Source organism: Homo sapiens, chromosome X (assembly GCF_000001405.40).
Source record: "Homo sapiens chromosome X, GRCh38.p14 Primary Assembly".
In the NCBI taxonomy this organism is placed as follows: domain Eukaryota; kingdom Metazoa; phylum Chordata; class Mammalia; order Primates; family Hominidae; genus Homo; species Homo sapiens.
Window position 1 is genome coordinate 118,878,637 of NC_000023.11, and position 13,888 is coordinate 118,892,524.

At 44.6% G+C, this 13,888-nt stretch overlaps 1 long non-coding RNA gene across 1 annotated transcript in view; it reads left to right on the plus strand.

The window, feature by feature from the left end:
- Positions 1-3,379, plus strand: part of LINC01285 (long intergenic non-protein coding RNA 1285) — a 42,460-nt gene extending 39,081 nt beyond the window's left edge. The window contains exon 7 of the long non-coding RNA NR_110393.1: positions 3,142-3,379. This is a non-coding gene — a long non-coding RNA (long intergenic non-protein coding RNA 1285). The remainder of the gene's footprint in view (positions 1-3,141) is intronic.
- The last annotated feature ends 10,509 nt before the right edge of the window (positions 3,380-13,888 follow it).

The window sequence follows — 13,888 nt, forward strand, 5'->3', positions numbered from 1 at the left end:
GTTAGCCAGGATGCTCTCGATCTCCTGAACTCGTGATCCGCCCACCTCGGCCTCCCAAAGTGCTGGGATTACAGGCCTGAGCCACCGCGCCCGGCCCAGCCTTTGCTCTTGCAGAGGGTACAGATCTCGGCCACTTCCCCCAGCCGGCATAGTTGGAGAGGCCAAGCTCCACGAACTTGCCCTCCTGGTGTCGCTGGTGGCAAGCACACAGCGTCTCTTCCACTGGGGTGCCGTGGTCAGGTGCATGTAGGTAGAAGAGGTCCAATCGGGGACACTGCAGCCTCTTCAGTGACGTCTCTAGCTGGGACCAGACACTGTCAGGCTTTAGTGATTTTCCCTCTCAAGGGTTGGCCTTGGTGGCCAATTTCACTCAGCAGTCGCCGCCGCCCAGCCCCAGCCTCAGGCCGCCCAGGATGATTTTGGACTGGCCATCGCTGTACATGAAGGCCATGTCCAGCTCGGTGTGGCCACGCTCCAGGAAAGCGTGCACGGCCGTGGCGCTGGCAGATGTGTCCATGTGGCGCCCCATCTCCATGATGCCCAGCACCATGGTGCGCCGGGCCAGGATGCCCAAGGCGGCCTGCGTTGGTTGTGGAAGGGACATGGCGAGCATGCGGGCCTCGGGTGGCAGGGAGCGACTTGTGCAGTGGATGGCGGCTTGGGGCATGGTGCGAGACGCGGTGCTCAACATGACCATGGTGCCTGCCCCTCACCCTGTTTTATTTTCTCCCTACCACTTAACATTATCTGAAATTGTCTGTTCATTTATTGGCTTGCTTATTATTATATATCTTCACCGCCACTAGAATGTAAATTTCATGAGCATGGCAATCTTATTTGCCTCAGTCCTGCTGAATGTCTAGCAACTAGCACAGTACTTAGCAGGTGCTCAGTGGATTATTTGTTGAATAAATGAGTCAGGATATGGACTGGCATTGTTGAAACCATGGGAAATATGTGATCATATGATCACTTCAAGGAGAGCCTGAAGAGTTAAATGTGGATTATAAAGGAATGAGCAGAGGAAAGAATGCCTACAAAGCAATTTGGAGGAACAACCAGGGAGGTAGGAGGAGAGACAGGAAAGTGTGATGTTACAGAAGGCAATCCTACTTCTCTCCCCAAAAGCAACCAATGCTAACAGATGGGTGGGTATCCTTCCAAATCATGTTCTATATATTTACATACATTCACAAATGTTTATATTACATGCATATGTAGTTTTGGTTTTTATATAAATGAGCTCATAGTACATGTATTATTCTATCATTTGCTTTTTTTTAAAAAAGAAATAACAGCTTTATTGAGCTATAATTCACACACTACACAATTCACACATTTAAAGTGTGCAGTTCAATTATTTTTAATATATTCATGGATGTGTGCAACCACTGCCATAGTCAATTTTTAGAACATTTTCATCACCTCAGAAGGAAACCCTGTATCCTTTAGCTATCGCCTCTTTATCCTTCAACCCTTACCAACCACTAATCCACTTTCAGTCTCTATAGATTTCCCTATTCTGGACTTTGATATTAATGGAAGAATATGTGATCTTTTGTGACTGGCTTATTTTACTTAGCACAGTGTTTTCAAGGTTCATTTATGTTGTAGCATGAATCAGAACTTCATTCTTTTTATTGCTGAATAAAATTGCTCTTGGAGGCCAGGCATGGTGGTGCACACCTGTAATTTCAACACTTTGGGAGGGTGAGGCAGGTGGATCACTTGAGCTCAGGAGTTCAAGACCAGCCTGGGCAACATGGCAAAACCCTGTCTCTACAAAATACAAAAAATTAGCTGGATGTAGCATTGTGTTCCTATAGTCACAGCTACCCAGGAGGCTGAGGTGGGAGGACTGCTTGAGCCTGGGAGGCCAAGGCTGCAGTGAGCCATGATTGTGCTATGGCACTCCTGCCTGGACAACAGAGTGAGACCCTGTCTCAAACAAAATAAAACAAAACAAAACAAAACAAAAAACTTGCAACTTGCTCTTGGCATATCCATTGTGTGGATATACTACATTTTGTTTATCTATTTGTCATTTGGACATTTGGGTAGTTTCTACTTTTTATTTTATTTTTTGATGGACTCTCACTTTGTTGCCAGGCTGGAGTGCAGTGGCGTGATCTCGGCTCACTGCAACCTCCGACTCCCTGGTTCAAGTGATTCTCCTTCCTCAGCCTCCCAAGTAGCTGGCATTAGAGACACGTGCCACCACACCCAGCTAAGTTTTTTTTTTTTTTTTTTTTTTTTTTTTTTTTTTTAGTAGAGACAGGGTTTCACCATGTTGGCCAGGATGGTATCCATCTCCTGACCTCATAATCCACCTGCCTCAGCCTCCCAAAGTTTTGGGATTACAGGCATGAGCCACTGCACCCAGCCAGTTTCTACTTTTTGGCTATTATAAATAACATGGCTATGAGTATTCATGTTCCAGTTTTTGTGTGGACATATATTTTCATGTCTTTTGGGTGTGTATCTAGGAGTGGGATTGCTGGGTCATATGGTAACTCCGTGTTTAACATTTTGAGGAACTACTGGATTGTTTTTCAAAGTGGCTGATCCATTTTACATTCCCACCAGCAGTATATGAGGCTTCCAGTTTCTCCACATCTTTGCCAACACTTGTTAGTATCTGTCCTTTTGATTATAGCCATACTAGGGACTGTGATTTCACTTGCTTTTTTATTTAATGTGTATGGATTTTTTTCTGTATCAGTATATATAGATAGCTTGTGTGTGTGTGTGTATGTGTGTGTGTGTGTGACAGTCTCACTCTGTAGCCCAGGCTGAAATGCAGTGGCACGATCTCAGCTCACTGCAACCTCCGCCTCCCAGGTTCAAGCGATTCTCGTGCCTCAGCCTCCTGAGTAGCTGGGATTACAGGCTCCTGCCACCACGCCTGGCTGATTTTTGTATTTTTAGTAGAGACGGGGTTTTGCCATGTTGGCCAGGCTGGTCTCAAACTCCTGACCTCAGGTGATCTGCCCACCTGGGCCTCCCAAAGTGCTGGGATTGCAGACGTGAGCCACCACGCCCAGCTGATATCTTACATATTTAACTGCTGCATAATATTCCACAGAAACCATGCTTTTCAAGATATTCCTGCCTATATCATTGTGTTATTTCTTCCACCAGGGCGCAGCAGTCTGGAAATAGAAACAATGGTGGTGGATCAATTCAATTGATCCAGATTTGGAAGTTGCGTGGCAAGTGAGAAGGATTTGGATGGTAATGGTGAGAAAGGATTTGAAATAATTTATCAAACCTGGTTCAGATCAATCCTGGTGCATAAGTGACTAACAAGGAGCTGGAGTGGATGGCATAGCATAGTGGCTAGAACCCTAAAACAAGGGATTTTACATGAAAGTGGAAAGGTAACTGTTTGGTTTTGCATTTACCCATTCCCTCTGTTGAGTTTTTTTTTTTTAATACTGAGTTATTCACTACTTTGTCTTCTTTTTTTTTGAGACAGAGTCTCATTCTGTTGCTCAGGCTAGAGTACAGTGGCAATCTCGGCTCACTGCAGTCTCTACCTCCTGGGTTCCAGTGATTCTTGTTCCTCAACCTTCTGAGTAGCTGGGATTACAGATGCCCACTACCATGCCCAGCTAATTTTTGTGTTTTTATTAGAGATGGGGTTTCACCATGTTGACCAGGCTGATCTCGAACTCCTGACCTCAAGTAACCCACCCACCTCAGCCTCCCAAAGTGCTGGGATTACAGGCGTAAGCCACTGCACCTGGCCTGCTTTGCCTTCTTAAACAGATGATTCAGAACATAATATAACCTTGTCTTGTGACTCAGGGTGGCCATTATGATCATCTGCTTTTGACCTGGACCTCTGAGGCATGTAGCAATATGTCTTTCCTTATGTCTTTTCCCTAAGTGTGTTCCGGATTTTTGTGCTTTTGAAGAAGTTCTGAGATCAACGTATTCTTGGTTCTTCTAATGTGTAGCTGTTTGACTAAGGACTGACTCCATGCATCTCCTATGAAGTGAAGTTCATGGGTTTTATGACAGCAATTTTACATGCTGCTTAGATGCTTTTTTCTCATCTAGGTTTTTAGTTATATTATGGCAGAGATTATAAGAAATCTGATCTCTAGAGAAGTGCTGGTACTTCTTTAATTTGGCATAGACTATTTTTGGCAAGCTAGTTTTCTAGCATTGAACACTTTAATGAATAAGTTCATAGTCACCCTATCCACATTCTTTTTAATGGTAGAAAACTGTCTGTCTAATACAGTAGCCATTAGCTACATGTAGATTTTTAAATTTAAATATACATTAATTAAGAGTAGGCTGGGCATGGTGGTTCATGCCTGTAATCCCAGCACTTCAGAAGGCCAAAGTGGGTGGATCATTTGAGGTCAGGAGTTCAAGACCAGCCTGGCCAACATGGTGAAACCCCGTTTCCACTAAAAATACAAAAATTAGCTGGGCGTGGTGGTACACACCTGTAATCCCAGCTACTCGGGAGGCTGAGGCAGGAGAATTCCTTGAACCCAGGAGGCAGAGGTTTGCAGTAGCCGAAATCCGCCACTGCACTTCAACCTGGGTGACAGAGCAAGACTCCATCTCAAAAAAAAAAAAAGAAAGAAAAAATTCCCTTATTGTACTAGCCACATTTCAAGTGCTTAGTAGTCACATGTGGCTACTGGCTACCCTATTGGAAAGTGCAGATGTAGAACACTTTCATCATCAAATAAAGTTCTATAGAGCAGCAATGGTTTAGACATTGAGCCAGTCTCTTCTCAGGCTTCTTGTTTCCAAACTAGAGTCTCATGGTTTAAGTGCATCCTTGTACAAGCAACCATGCTCATACTATTCTCCAACACTCTCTGATTTCCAACCCCTGATCATTGTCATTTGCTCTCTATTAGTATTAATTTCCTATGGCTACTATAACAAATCATCACAAGTTTAGTGGCTTAAAACAACATAAATTTATTATCACATATGACATAGTTTTGATATTTGTCCCCTTCAAATCTCATGTTGAAATGTGACCCCTAATGTTGGAGGTGGAGCCCACTGGGAGGTGTTTAGGTTATGGGGGTTGATCCCTCTTGAATAGCTTGGTGCTGTCCCCATGATAATGAATGAGTTCTCACTCTATTAGTTTACAGGAGATCTAGTTGTTTACAAGTACATAGCATGCCTCCCCTCTCTCTATCACTCCCCCCTCACCATGTGACATGCCTGCTCACCCTTTGCCATCTGCCATGATTAGAAGCTTCCTGAGGTTCTCACCAGAAGCAGATGCTGGCATCATGCTGCTTGCTGCTTATACAGCCTGCAGAACTGTGAGGCAAATCAACCTCTTTTATTTATAAATTACCCAGTCTCAGGTGTTCCTTTATAGCCACACAAAACCAACTAAGGCAATACAGTTTTGGAGATTGAAGTTCAAAATCAGCCATTTTCCAGCTTCTAGATGCTGCCTACATTCCTTAGTTCATAGCTCCTTCCTCCGTCTTCAAAGCCTGCAGCGTAGCATCTTCAAGTCTCTCTGTGACTCTCTGACCTCCGCCTCCATAGTCACGTGACCTTCTCTGACTCTGACCTTCCTGCCTCTTTTATGAAGAGTCCGTAATAAAGATTAGGTCGCCTTGGCTAATCCAGAGCAATCATCTCATTTCAAGAATATTAACTTAATCACACCTGCAAAGTCCCTTTCAGCATTTTACCATTATGTTATACCGGTATGTTGTGAGGACCACTATTCAGCCTGCCACAGACAGTTTTCTACAGTGGCATTTTGTTTTCCTGTGATGGACAGTGATCCAGTGGTCCTTATTTTCCAGGACCAGAGTATGCTGGTCCAGCACAGAGTATGCTGATATCCCAAGGTTTTATATAAAGGGAGGATAATGTTTTAAAATCTTATTTTCTGTGAGAAAACATTTTAAATGGTCCATTTTCAAGGTATGATAAATCTAAGTACTGGCAGCCAGCCTGCGGACGTGACAAACCGCACAGCTCATGCACCTAGAAAGTCGCAATAAGCAAACAGAATGTAGAGGAGGAGTCAGCCTATAAAAGGGAAGAAAAAGTTTACAGAGTTATTGGAAAATCGAAACTTAAGCAGGGAAGGGGACTGGGTTATAACCTTATAAGGGATAATGAAACTTAGGTGACGTCCAGAAAGATTGTAACCCCACAGTATTTGACCAATGAGGAACTGGGGGAGGGACTTGCGTGCTAGGAGATAAATTACCTGCTGTAGCTGCCCCAGCTGTGCCTGCCTACCAGACACCCATTCTTGCACGATCACCATTAAAATTCTCTCTTCCATTGTTCTTTTGTGTCTCTGAGTCCATTCTTTGGGTTTGGACAGATGAATGTGTTTCTCACAAACTTGGGGGCCCATCTGGGATCTCTGTGCCTGCGTGGAGTTGGACTCCAGCCAAGAGGGGAGAGGCGTCCCACCTGATTTAAGTGGCCTGCTCTGTCTGGGAATCCCGGCTCCCTGCAGAGGCCATAGACAAACCTGAGACTGTTATTCAGGAGGCAGTGGAGGTGACACAGGGAGAAAAGCAGGCACCGTGGCAACCAGGCAACCTCATGTACGAGCCAAGGTAGGAAAATTGGACTGTGAGTATTGTCTTGGTGGTTGGGCATTTTTGGAGGTCGAGTGTGTGTGACTGAGACGTATCCTAGGTATGAAGCAAGTGTGGAGACCCAATTTGCGGTTCTGTTCTCTCGCGAGGGGAACAGCCAGAGACGGATGAAATGATTCTCGGTGTGTGCAAGAAACCTCTAGTGGGGGGCTTGAGTACACAGGGAAAAACTCAGACACAGATTGACGAAAATGGGAAACAGAAATTCTAGGCCTAGGGGACAAAGGAAAGAGGGAGCCAAAGAGACTCCCTCTGACATTCCCCCGGATAGTCCTTTAAGGAGAATGCTGCAGGTTTGGAGGGACAACCCTTGAACCAGGGACAAGGAAAAGGAAAAGATGATAAAGTATTGCTGTTTTACCTGTCCCAAAGACCCCATTCGCAAGCCTTCAGTCTTTTGATTTAAGTTTGGCTCAGATGAGAACTGGGTGTGCCAAGCTTTAATTCTCTATGTGAATGATAAAACCCCATTCTAGGCCGGGCACGGTGGCTTACGCCTGTGGTCCCAGCACTTTGGGAGGCCGAGGTGGGTGGATCACGATGTCAGGAGATCGAGACCATCCTGGCTAACACAATGAAACCCCATCTCTACTAAAAATACAAAAAATTAGCCAGGTGTGGTGGTGGGCGCCTGTAGTCCCAGCTACTTGGGAGGCTGAGGCAGGAGAATGGCGTGAACCCGGGAGGCGGAGCTTGCAGTGAGCTGAGATCGCACCACTGCACTCCAGCCTGGGCGACAGAGCAAGACTCCACTAAAACAAAACAAAACAAAATAAAACAAAACAAAAAACAAAAACCATCCTCACAAGAAGAGATAGGTTATGCTCTCTGCTGGATCAAAGAATTAACCCCCACGTTCCCCATCAAAGAAGAAGAAAAAGAGCCTAGTAAAAAGCTCTTGCCCAGTGAAAAGCCCTGGGACCCCCTATCATGCTTGCCCCTCCATACAGCTCACAAAATAGGGGACAGGAAGATCAAGGGGGCAACAGGAGGGTTAGAGGAAGAAAGACCTGGAGACCATGGGGGAACCAAACCAATTGCTCCTTTAAGTCCTCATCCAAATTTAAGAAAAAGAACAGTGTAAGAGGGATATTAAGAACTTCCTTATCCTGTCCACACAGCAGGCATCTAGCATGCTCCCTCTTAGAGAAGTTCCCATGGGACAGGGAGAGACTGGCTTTGTAAATGCTCCTCTTACAAGTTCTGAAGTTAGGAATTTCAAGAAGGAAATGAAACCACGCCTAGAAGATCCCCTCGGTTTAGCAGACCAGCTGGACCAATTCCTAGGAACCAGCTTTTACACCTGGGCTGAAATGATGTCTATCATGAATATTCTGTTCACAGGAGAAGAAAGGGGAATGATTAGGAGAGCAGCCATGACCATCTGGGAGAGGCAACACCCTCCCAGGCAAGGAGTCTTGCCAACCAAACAAAAATTTCCAAATGTCGATCCTAAATGGGATAATAATGATCCCAGGGACTGGACCCAAATGCAGGACCTCAGGGAACTAATAATTAAAGGGATCAAAGAGTCCACTCCTAGGACACAAAATGTCTCAAAGGCATTCAAGATTCAACAAGAAAATGAGGAAACTCCCTCTGCATTCCTGCAGAGGTTCCTGAGAAAATACTCTAGATTAGATCTGGAGGACCCAGTAGGGCAAGGCCTTTTGAAGGTTAACTTTGTAACTAAGAGCTGGCCTGACATTACAAAAAAATTACAAAAGAGTAATGAATGGAATGAGAAACCAGTTGAAGAATTACTGAGGGAAGCTCAGAAGGTCTTTGTAAGGAGAGAGGAAGAGAAGCAGAAACAAAAAGCGAGAATCATGGTTTCCACTGTGGAAAAGGTAGTCAGAAGAAGGTTAGATCAAGATCCCTCTTGAAGGAAACAATGGGATAATAGATTTTGACACAGAGGAAGAAGGGAAAAGCTCCTAAGACTATGAGTTGATGTTACAAGTGCGGAAAACCAGGGCATTTTAAGAGAGAATGTCCTGAATGGAAAAAAGAAGAAAAAATGATCCCCTTCATGACGGTTGATGAAGACAAGGGGGGCCAGGGGTTCCTTCTGAGTAGGACCCTCCAGGAACCGCTGATAAATGTGAAGGTGGGACCCGAGGGAGAAGAAGTGACAGTTTTGGTTGATACTGGGGTGGCTTGCTCCTCCCTAATTCACCAACCAAGGGGTACAGAAGTCTCTAAGAAAAAATTGACAGTATCGGGGTAAAAGGGGAGGGATTTCAGGTTCTGATATTCAAGGAAATGTTAATTAGATTGGGACCTGAACAAATTGAGGTGTGACTCTTATATGTTCCTGAAGCAGGAACTAACCTCCTTGGTCAAGACCTGATTGTGAGATTGGGTTTAGGATTAGGAATAGAGGAAGGACAAATAAAAGTAATGATGGGCCTCCTAACAAAGCAAGAGGAAAGAAAAATTAATCCCCTTGTGTGGATTAGGGAAGGCAACAGGGGAGGGTTAAAAATCACACCCTTACAGATTAAACTAAAACAACCAGGAGAAGTAGTTTTCAGAAAACAGGCCAGGCACAGTGGCTCACGCCTGTAATCCCAGCATTTTGGGAGACTGAGGTGGGCGTATCATGAGGTCAAGAGATCGAGACCATCCTGACCAACATGGTGAAACCCCGTCTCTACTAAAAATACAAAAATTATCTCGGCATGGTGGCACACACCTGTAGCCCCGGCTTCTCAGGAGGCTGAGGCAGGAGAATCACTTGAACCTAGGAGGCGGAGGTTGCAGTGAGCTGAGATCATGTCACTGCACTTCAGCCTGGCAACAGAGTGAGACTCCGTTTCAAAAAAAAAAAAAGAAAGAAAAAAGAAAGAAAAAGAAAACAATATCCCATTTCTACTGAAGGGAGAAAAGATCTCCAACTGGTAATAGAGGGATTGATTAAAGATGGACTATTAGAACCCTGCATGTCACTATACAATACTCCAATTTTCCCAGTCAAAAAGCCTGATGGGTTCTATAGATTGGTGCAAGATCTAGGGACTATGAATCAAATTGTCCAGACCCACCATCCTGTGGCACCTAACCCCTACGCCCTCCTTAATAAGATACTCTATGAACATAAGTGATTCAGTGTGGTGGGTCTAAAAGATGTATTCTGGGCATGTCCCCTAGATCTTAGGAGCAGGGACCTCTTTGTCTTTGAATAAGAAAATCCTATAACTGGGAGAAAACAACAGGACTGCTAGACTGTGCTGCCACAAGGTTTCATGGCAGCCCCAAATGTATTTGGTCAAATAATAGAAAAAGTCCGGGAGGAATTCCAACCTTCCAGGGGAACCCAGTCATTACAATATGTAGATAATCTTTTAATTTCTGGGGAGAGGAGGGCCGAGGTATCAGAAACCACCATAAGCTTGCTTAATTTCCTAGGAGAAAGGGGATTGCAAGTCTCTAAGAACAAATTGCAGTTTGTAGAAAAAGAAGTTAAATATTTAGGACACCTGATTAGTGAAGGGAAGTGGAGAATAAACCCAGAGAGAATATCTGGAATAGTGGGCCTGCCTTTGCCTAAGACAGAGAGAACTCCGAAAATTTTTAGGTTCAACTGGCTACTGCAGGTTGTGAATTGACTCATATGCTCAAAAGACAAAAATTCTGTATCTCAAGTTACTAGAAGAGGAACCCGATCCCATGCAATGATCCCCATAGGAAATTCAGGTAGTGAAAGAGCTAAAGCAGGCCCTCATTACTGCCCCGGTCCTGGCCCTCCCATCTTTAGAGAAACCATTCCATCTGTTTGTAACAGTAGACCAGAGTTTGGCCTTGGAGTGCTCACTCATACCGGGGGAGGGAAGAGGCAACCTGTTGCTTTTGTCTCCAAGCTTCTTGAGCCTGTCTCTCGGGGGTGGCCTGAATGTGTGCAAGCAGTAGCTGCCACAGCCCTGCTGGTAGAGTCAAAAGCTAACTTTGGTGGGGCCCTAATAGTAAGCACCCACACCAAGTCAGGAATATATTAAATCAAAAAGCCAGGAGGTGGTTAATGGATTCTTGGATTCAAAAATATGAAGCCATGTCACTAGAAAAAGATAATTTGGCTGTAACAACAGATACTTGCCTGAATCCAGCCAGTTTCCTATGGAAAGGAGAGAAGAACAAAGAGACATCAGACCATAACTGCTTAGATATCATAGAATACCAAATCAAAGTTAGACCAGACCTTAAGGAAGCTCCACTACATGATGGGATAAGGCTGTTTGTGGATGAGTTTTCCCAAGTGACAAATGGCAAGAGACATAATGGTTATGCTGTTATTGGTGGAAATAGTTAACCAAGTAATGACCCTAAAAGGGTAGAAATAATTGAGGTAAAGGATTTAAGGCAAACTTTAGAAATTGAGACAGGGTACAGGGATGTGAATGCCTGGTTCAAATTTTCAGTACAAGCCCTCAACAAGAGTAATTGCTGGCTGGGCGCAGTGGCTCACGCCTGTAATCCCAACACTTTGGGAGGCTGGGGCAGGCAGATCACGAGGTCAGGAGATCGAGACCATCCTGGCTAACACAGTGAAACCCCGTCCCTACTAAAAATACAAAAAATTAGCCAGGCGTGGTGGCACGTGCCTGTAATCATAGCTACTCGTGAGGATGAGGCTGAGGCTGAGGCAGGAGAATCGCTTGAACCCGGGAGGCGGAGTTTACAGTGAGCCGAGATCATGCCACCGCACTCCAGCCTGGGTGACAGAGCGAGAGTCCGTCTCAAAAAAGAAAGTAATTGCTATGTGCGTGCTGCGGGACGACCTCAGGCCCAGGTGATTCCATTTCCCCTAGGATGGGATACCGATCCTGAAGGCATGCATTGCATGTTGGCTCTATACCAGGACAAAGATGCATGGGAAATGAGACTTGTAAGAGCCTGTCATTGTTCTTTCCTGCATTGTGGTGGTCAGATCCCAGAGCAATCCCCTCATTCTCTATAGGGAATATGAACCACTCCTCTTGTCTCTCTAGGCAGGGGGCAGAGTTCAATAAGCCCGTGGGAGAACTCTCGTACTTGTACCCACATCCTAATTGTCACTGCTGAGTCAGGCAATGGCAATTACTCAGCTCTCCATATACTCTGGGCTGTTGTCTGGTGGTATTGTGGGAAAGGGGACCTCCATAACCTGTTAGTTACTGTCCAACTGGACCAGGACTTGTGCTTTAGTCCAATTGGCCATTCCTTTCACCCTGGCATTCCATAAGATACCCGAAAATACACATGGCCACCAAAACCAGACAGATTTGACAAATTCTTTTGATCCCAATATATATATTGACTCGACAGGAGTCCCCAAGGGGGTGCCTAATGAATTTAAGGCCTGAAGCCAAATAGCTGCTGGGTTTGAGTCAGCACTCTTTTGGTGATCAATTATTAATAAGAATGTGGATTGGATTAACTATATCTGTTATAATCAACAGAGATTCATCAATTGTACTCAGGACGCCCTCAAAGAGGTGGCTAGCGAGTTTGATGCCACCAGCCAAATGGCCTGGGAAACAGACTTGTGCTAGACATGATACTAGCAGAAAAAGGGGGTGTATGTGTTATGCTAGATGGGAAATGTTGTACTTTCATTCCCAACAATATTGCCCCAGATGGGACCATCACCAAAGTTTTACAAGGACTGACAACTGTAGCCAATAAACTGGCAGAAAATGCTGGAATTGACCCATTTACAGACTGGCTAGAAGGTTGGTTTGGAAAATGGAAAGACATGGTAGCTTCAATCCTTACATCTCTCATAATTGTGGCAGGAGTCTTAACAGCAGTGGGATGTTGTATTATCCCTTGTGTGAAGGGAGTAGCACAGAGATTAATTGAAACAGCTATTAATAAACAAATGCCAATGACTTACCAGCAAAATAACCTGCTACTATTAGAAACCAAATTAAACTCACTCTCCTATAAGGAAGAAAGTAGACAACTTCTAGAGTGATTGGAGGACCAAAAGGGTTTAGATGAAAATGAGACCAAAGGAAGTAAATAAAAAAGAGGAGGGAATTTGTGAGAAAACATTTTACATGGTCAATTTTCAAGGCATGATAAATCTATGTACTGGCAACCAGCCTGTGGACATGACAAACCACATGGCTCATGTACCTAGAAAGTCATGATAAGGAAACAGAATGTAGAGCAGGGGTCAGCCCATAAAAGGGAAGAAAGTTTTGTTATTGGGAAATCGAAATGTAAGTGGGGTAGGGGACTGGGGTATAATCTTATAAAAGATAATGAAACTTAGGTGATATCTGGGACTATTGTAACCCCATAGTACTTGACCAATGAGGAACTGGGGGAGGGACTTGCATGCAAGAGATAAATTACCTGCTGTAACTGCCCCAGGTGTGCCTGCCTACCAGACACCCGATTTTGTAAGACCGCCATTAAAAGTCTCGCTTCCACTGTTCTTCGTGTCTCTGAGTCTATTCTTTGGGTTTGGACGGGTGAATGTGTTTCTCACATTTTCTGCCTTTCGCCTATATGGAAATACCAAAATATGATTGTTCTGACCTTCAAAATATGATTCTGTGAGTATAGTGGTATAGGAGTATCTTATCAGCAAGACAAATCCACAGCTAACTCAATATCCTATCAGAGTGTTTGGCTACTGTAATACAGTTATTTCAGGGCTAATCTCTGCCAACTTTTCTTCTCAAACACACACACACACACACACACACACACACACACACACACACACACATAGGGATATGGATGCACCCATAAACAAAAAACTGGGGGCTCGATATATTAACCAAAGCAAAGCCTTCTGAGCTTCTCTTTGCCCCCCAAAAAAGGATGATAAATGAAAGTCTGAATCATTCCTAGGAGAAGAAGCAGCAGACACCAATGCAGGATTGGTCTTCCACTTCCAGTCTGGACAAGATAGCATAGACTCATTTCTCCCTGCTTCTCCCAGGTAAGCCCAACCAGAAATCCTGGAAATAATTCAAGAGGTGGCCACAGGAGAATTCTAAAAGGTGTAAAGGGGAAGGCAGAACGATTAGGAATCCCAGGACTGGAGGAACACCATAGTAGCAGGGTACCTTATGACTCTCAAGCCATAAATGTGACCCAGGCCCAGCATTTCCCAAACCCCAACGTAGCAATAGAAAATGGTTCCTGTAGGTTCCTTTCTCCTCTGCATTGAATGGGAGTCCTACTGACACCAACAGGTAAGCCTGGCAACTCCAGCAAGTGGGATTTAGCAAGGTGCCTCACTGACAATAAGCAGCCAGCAG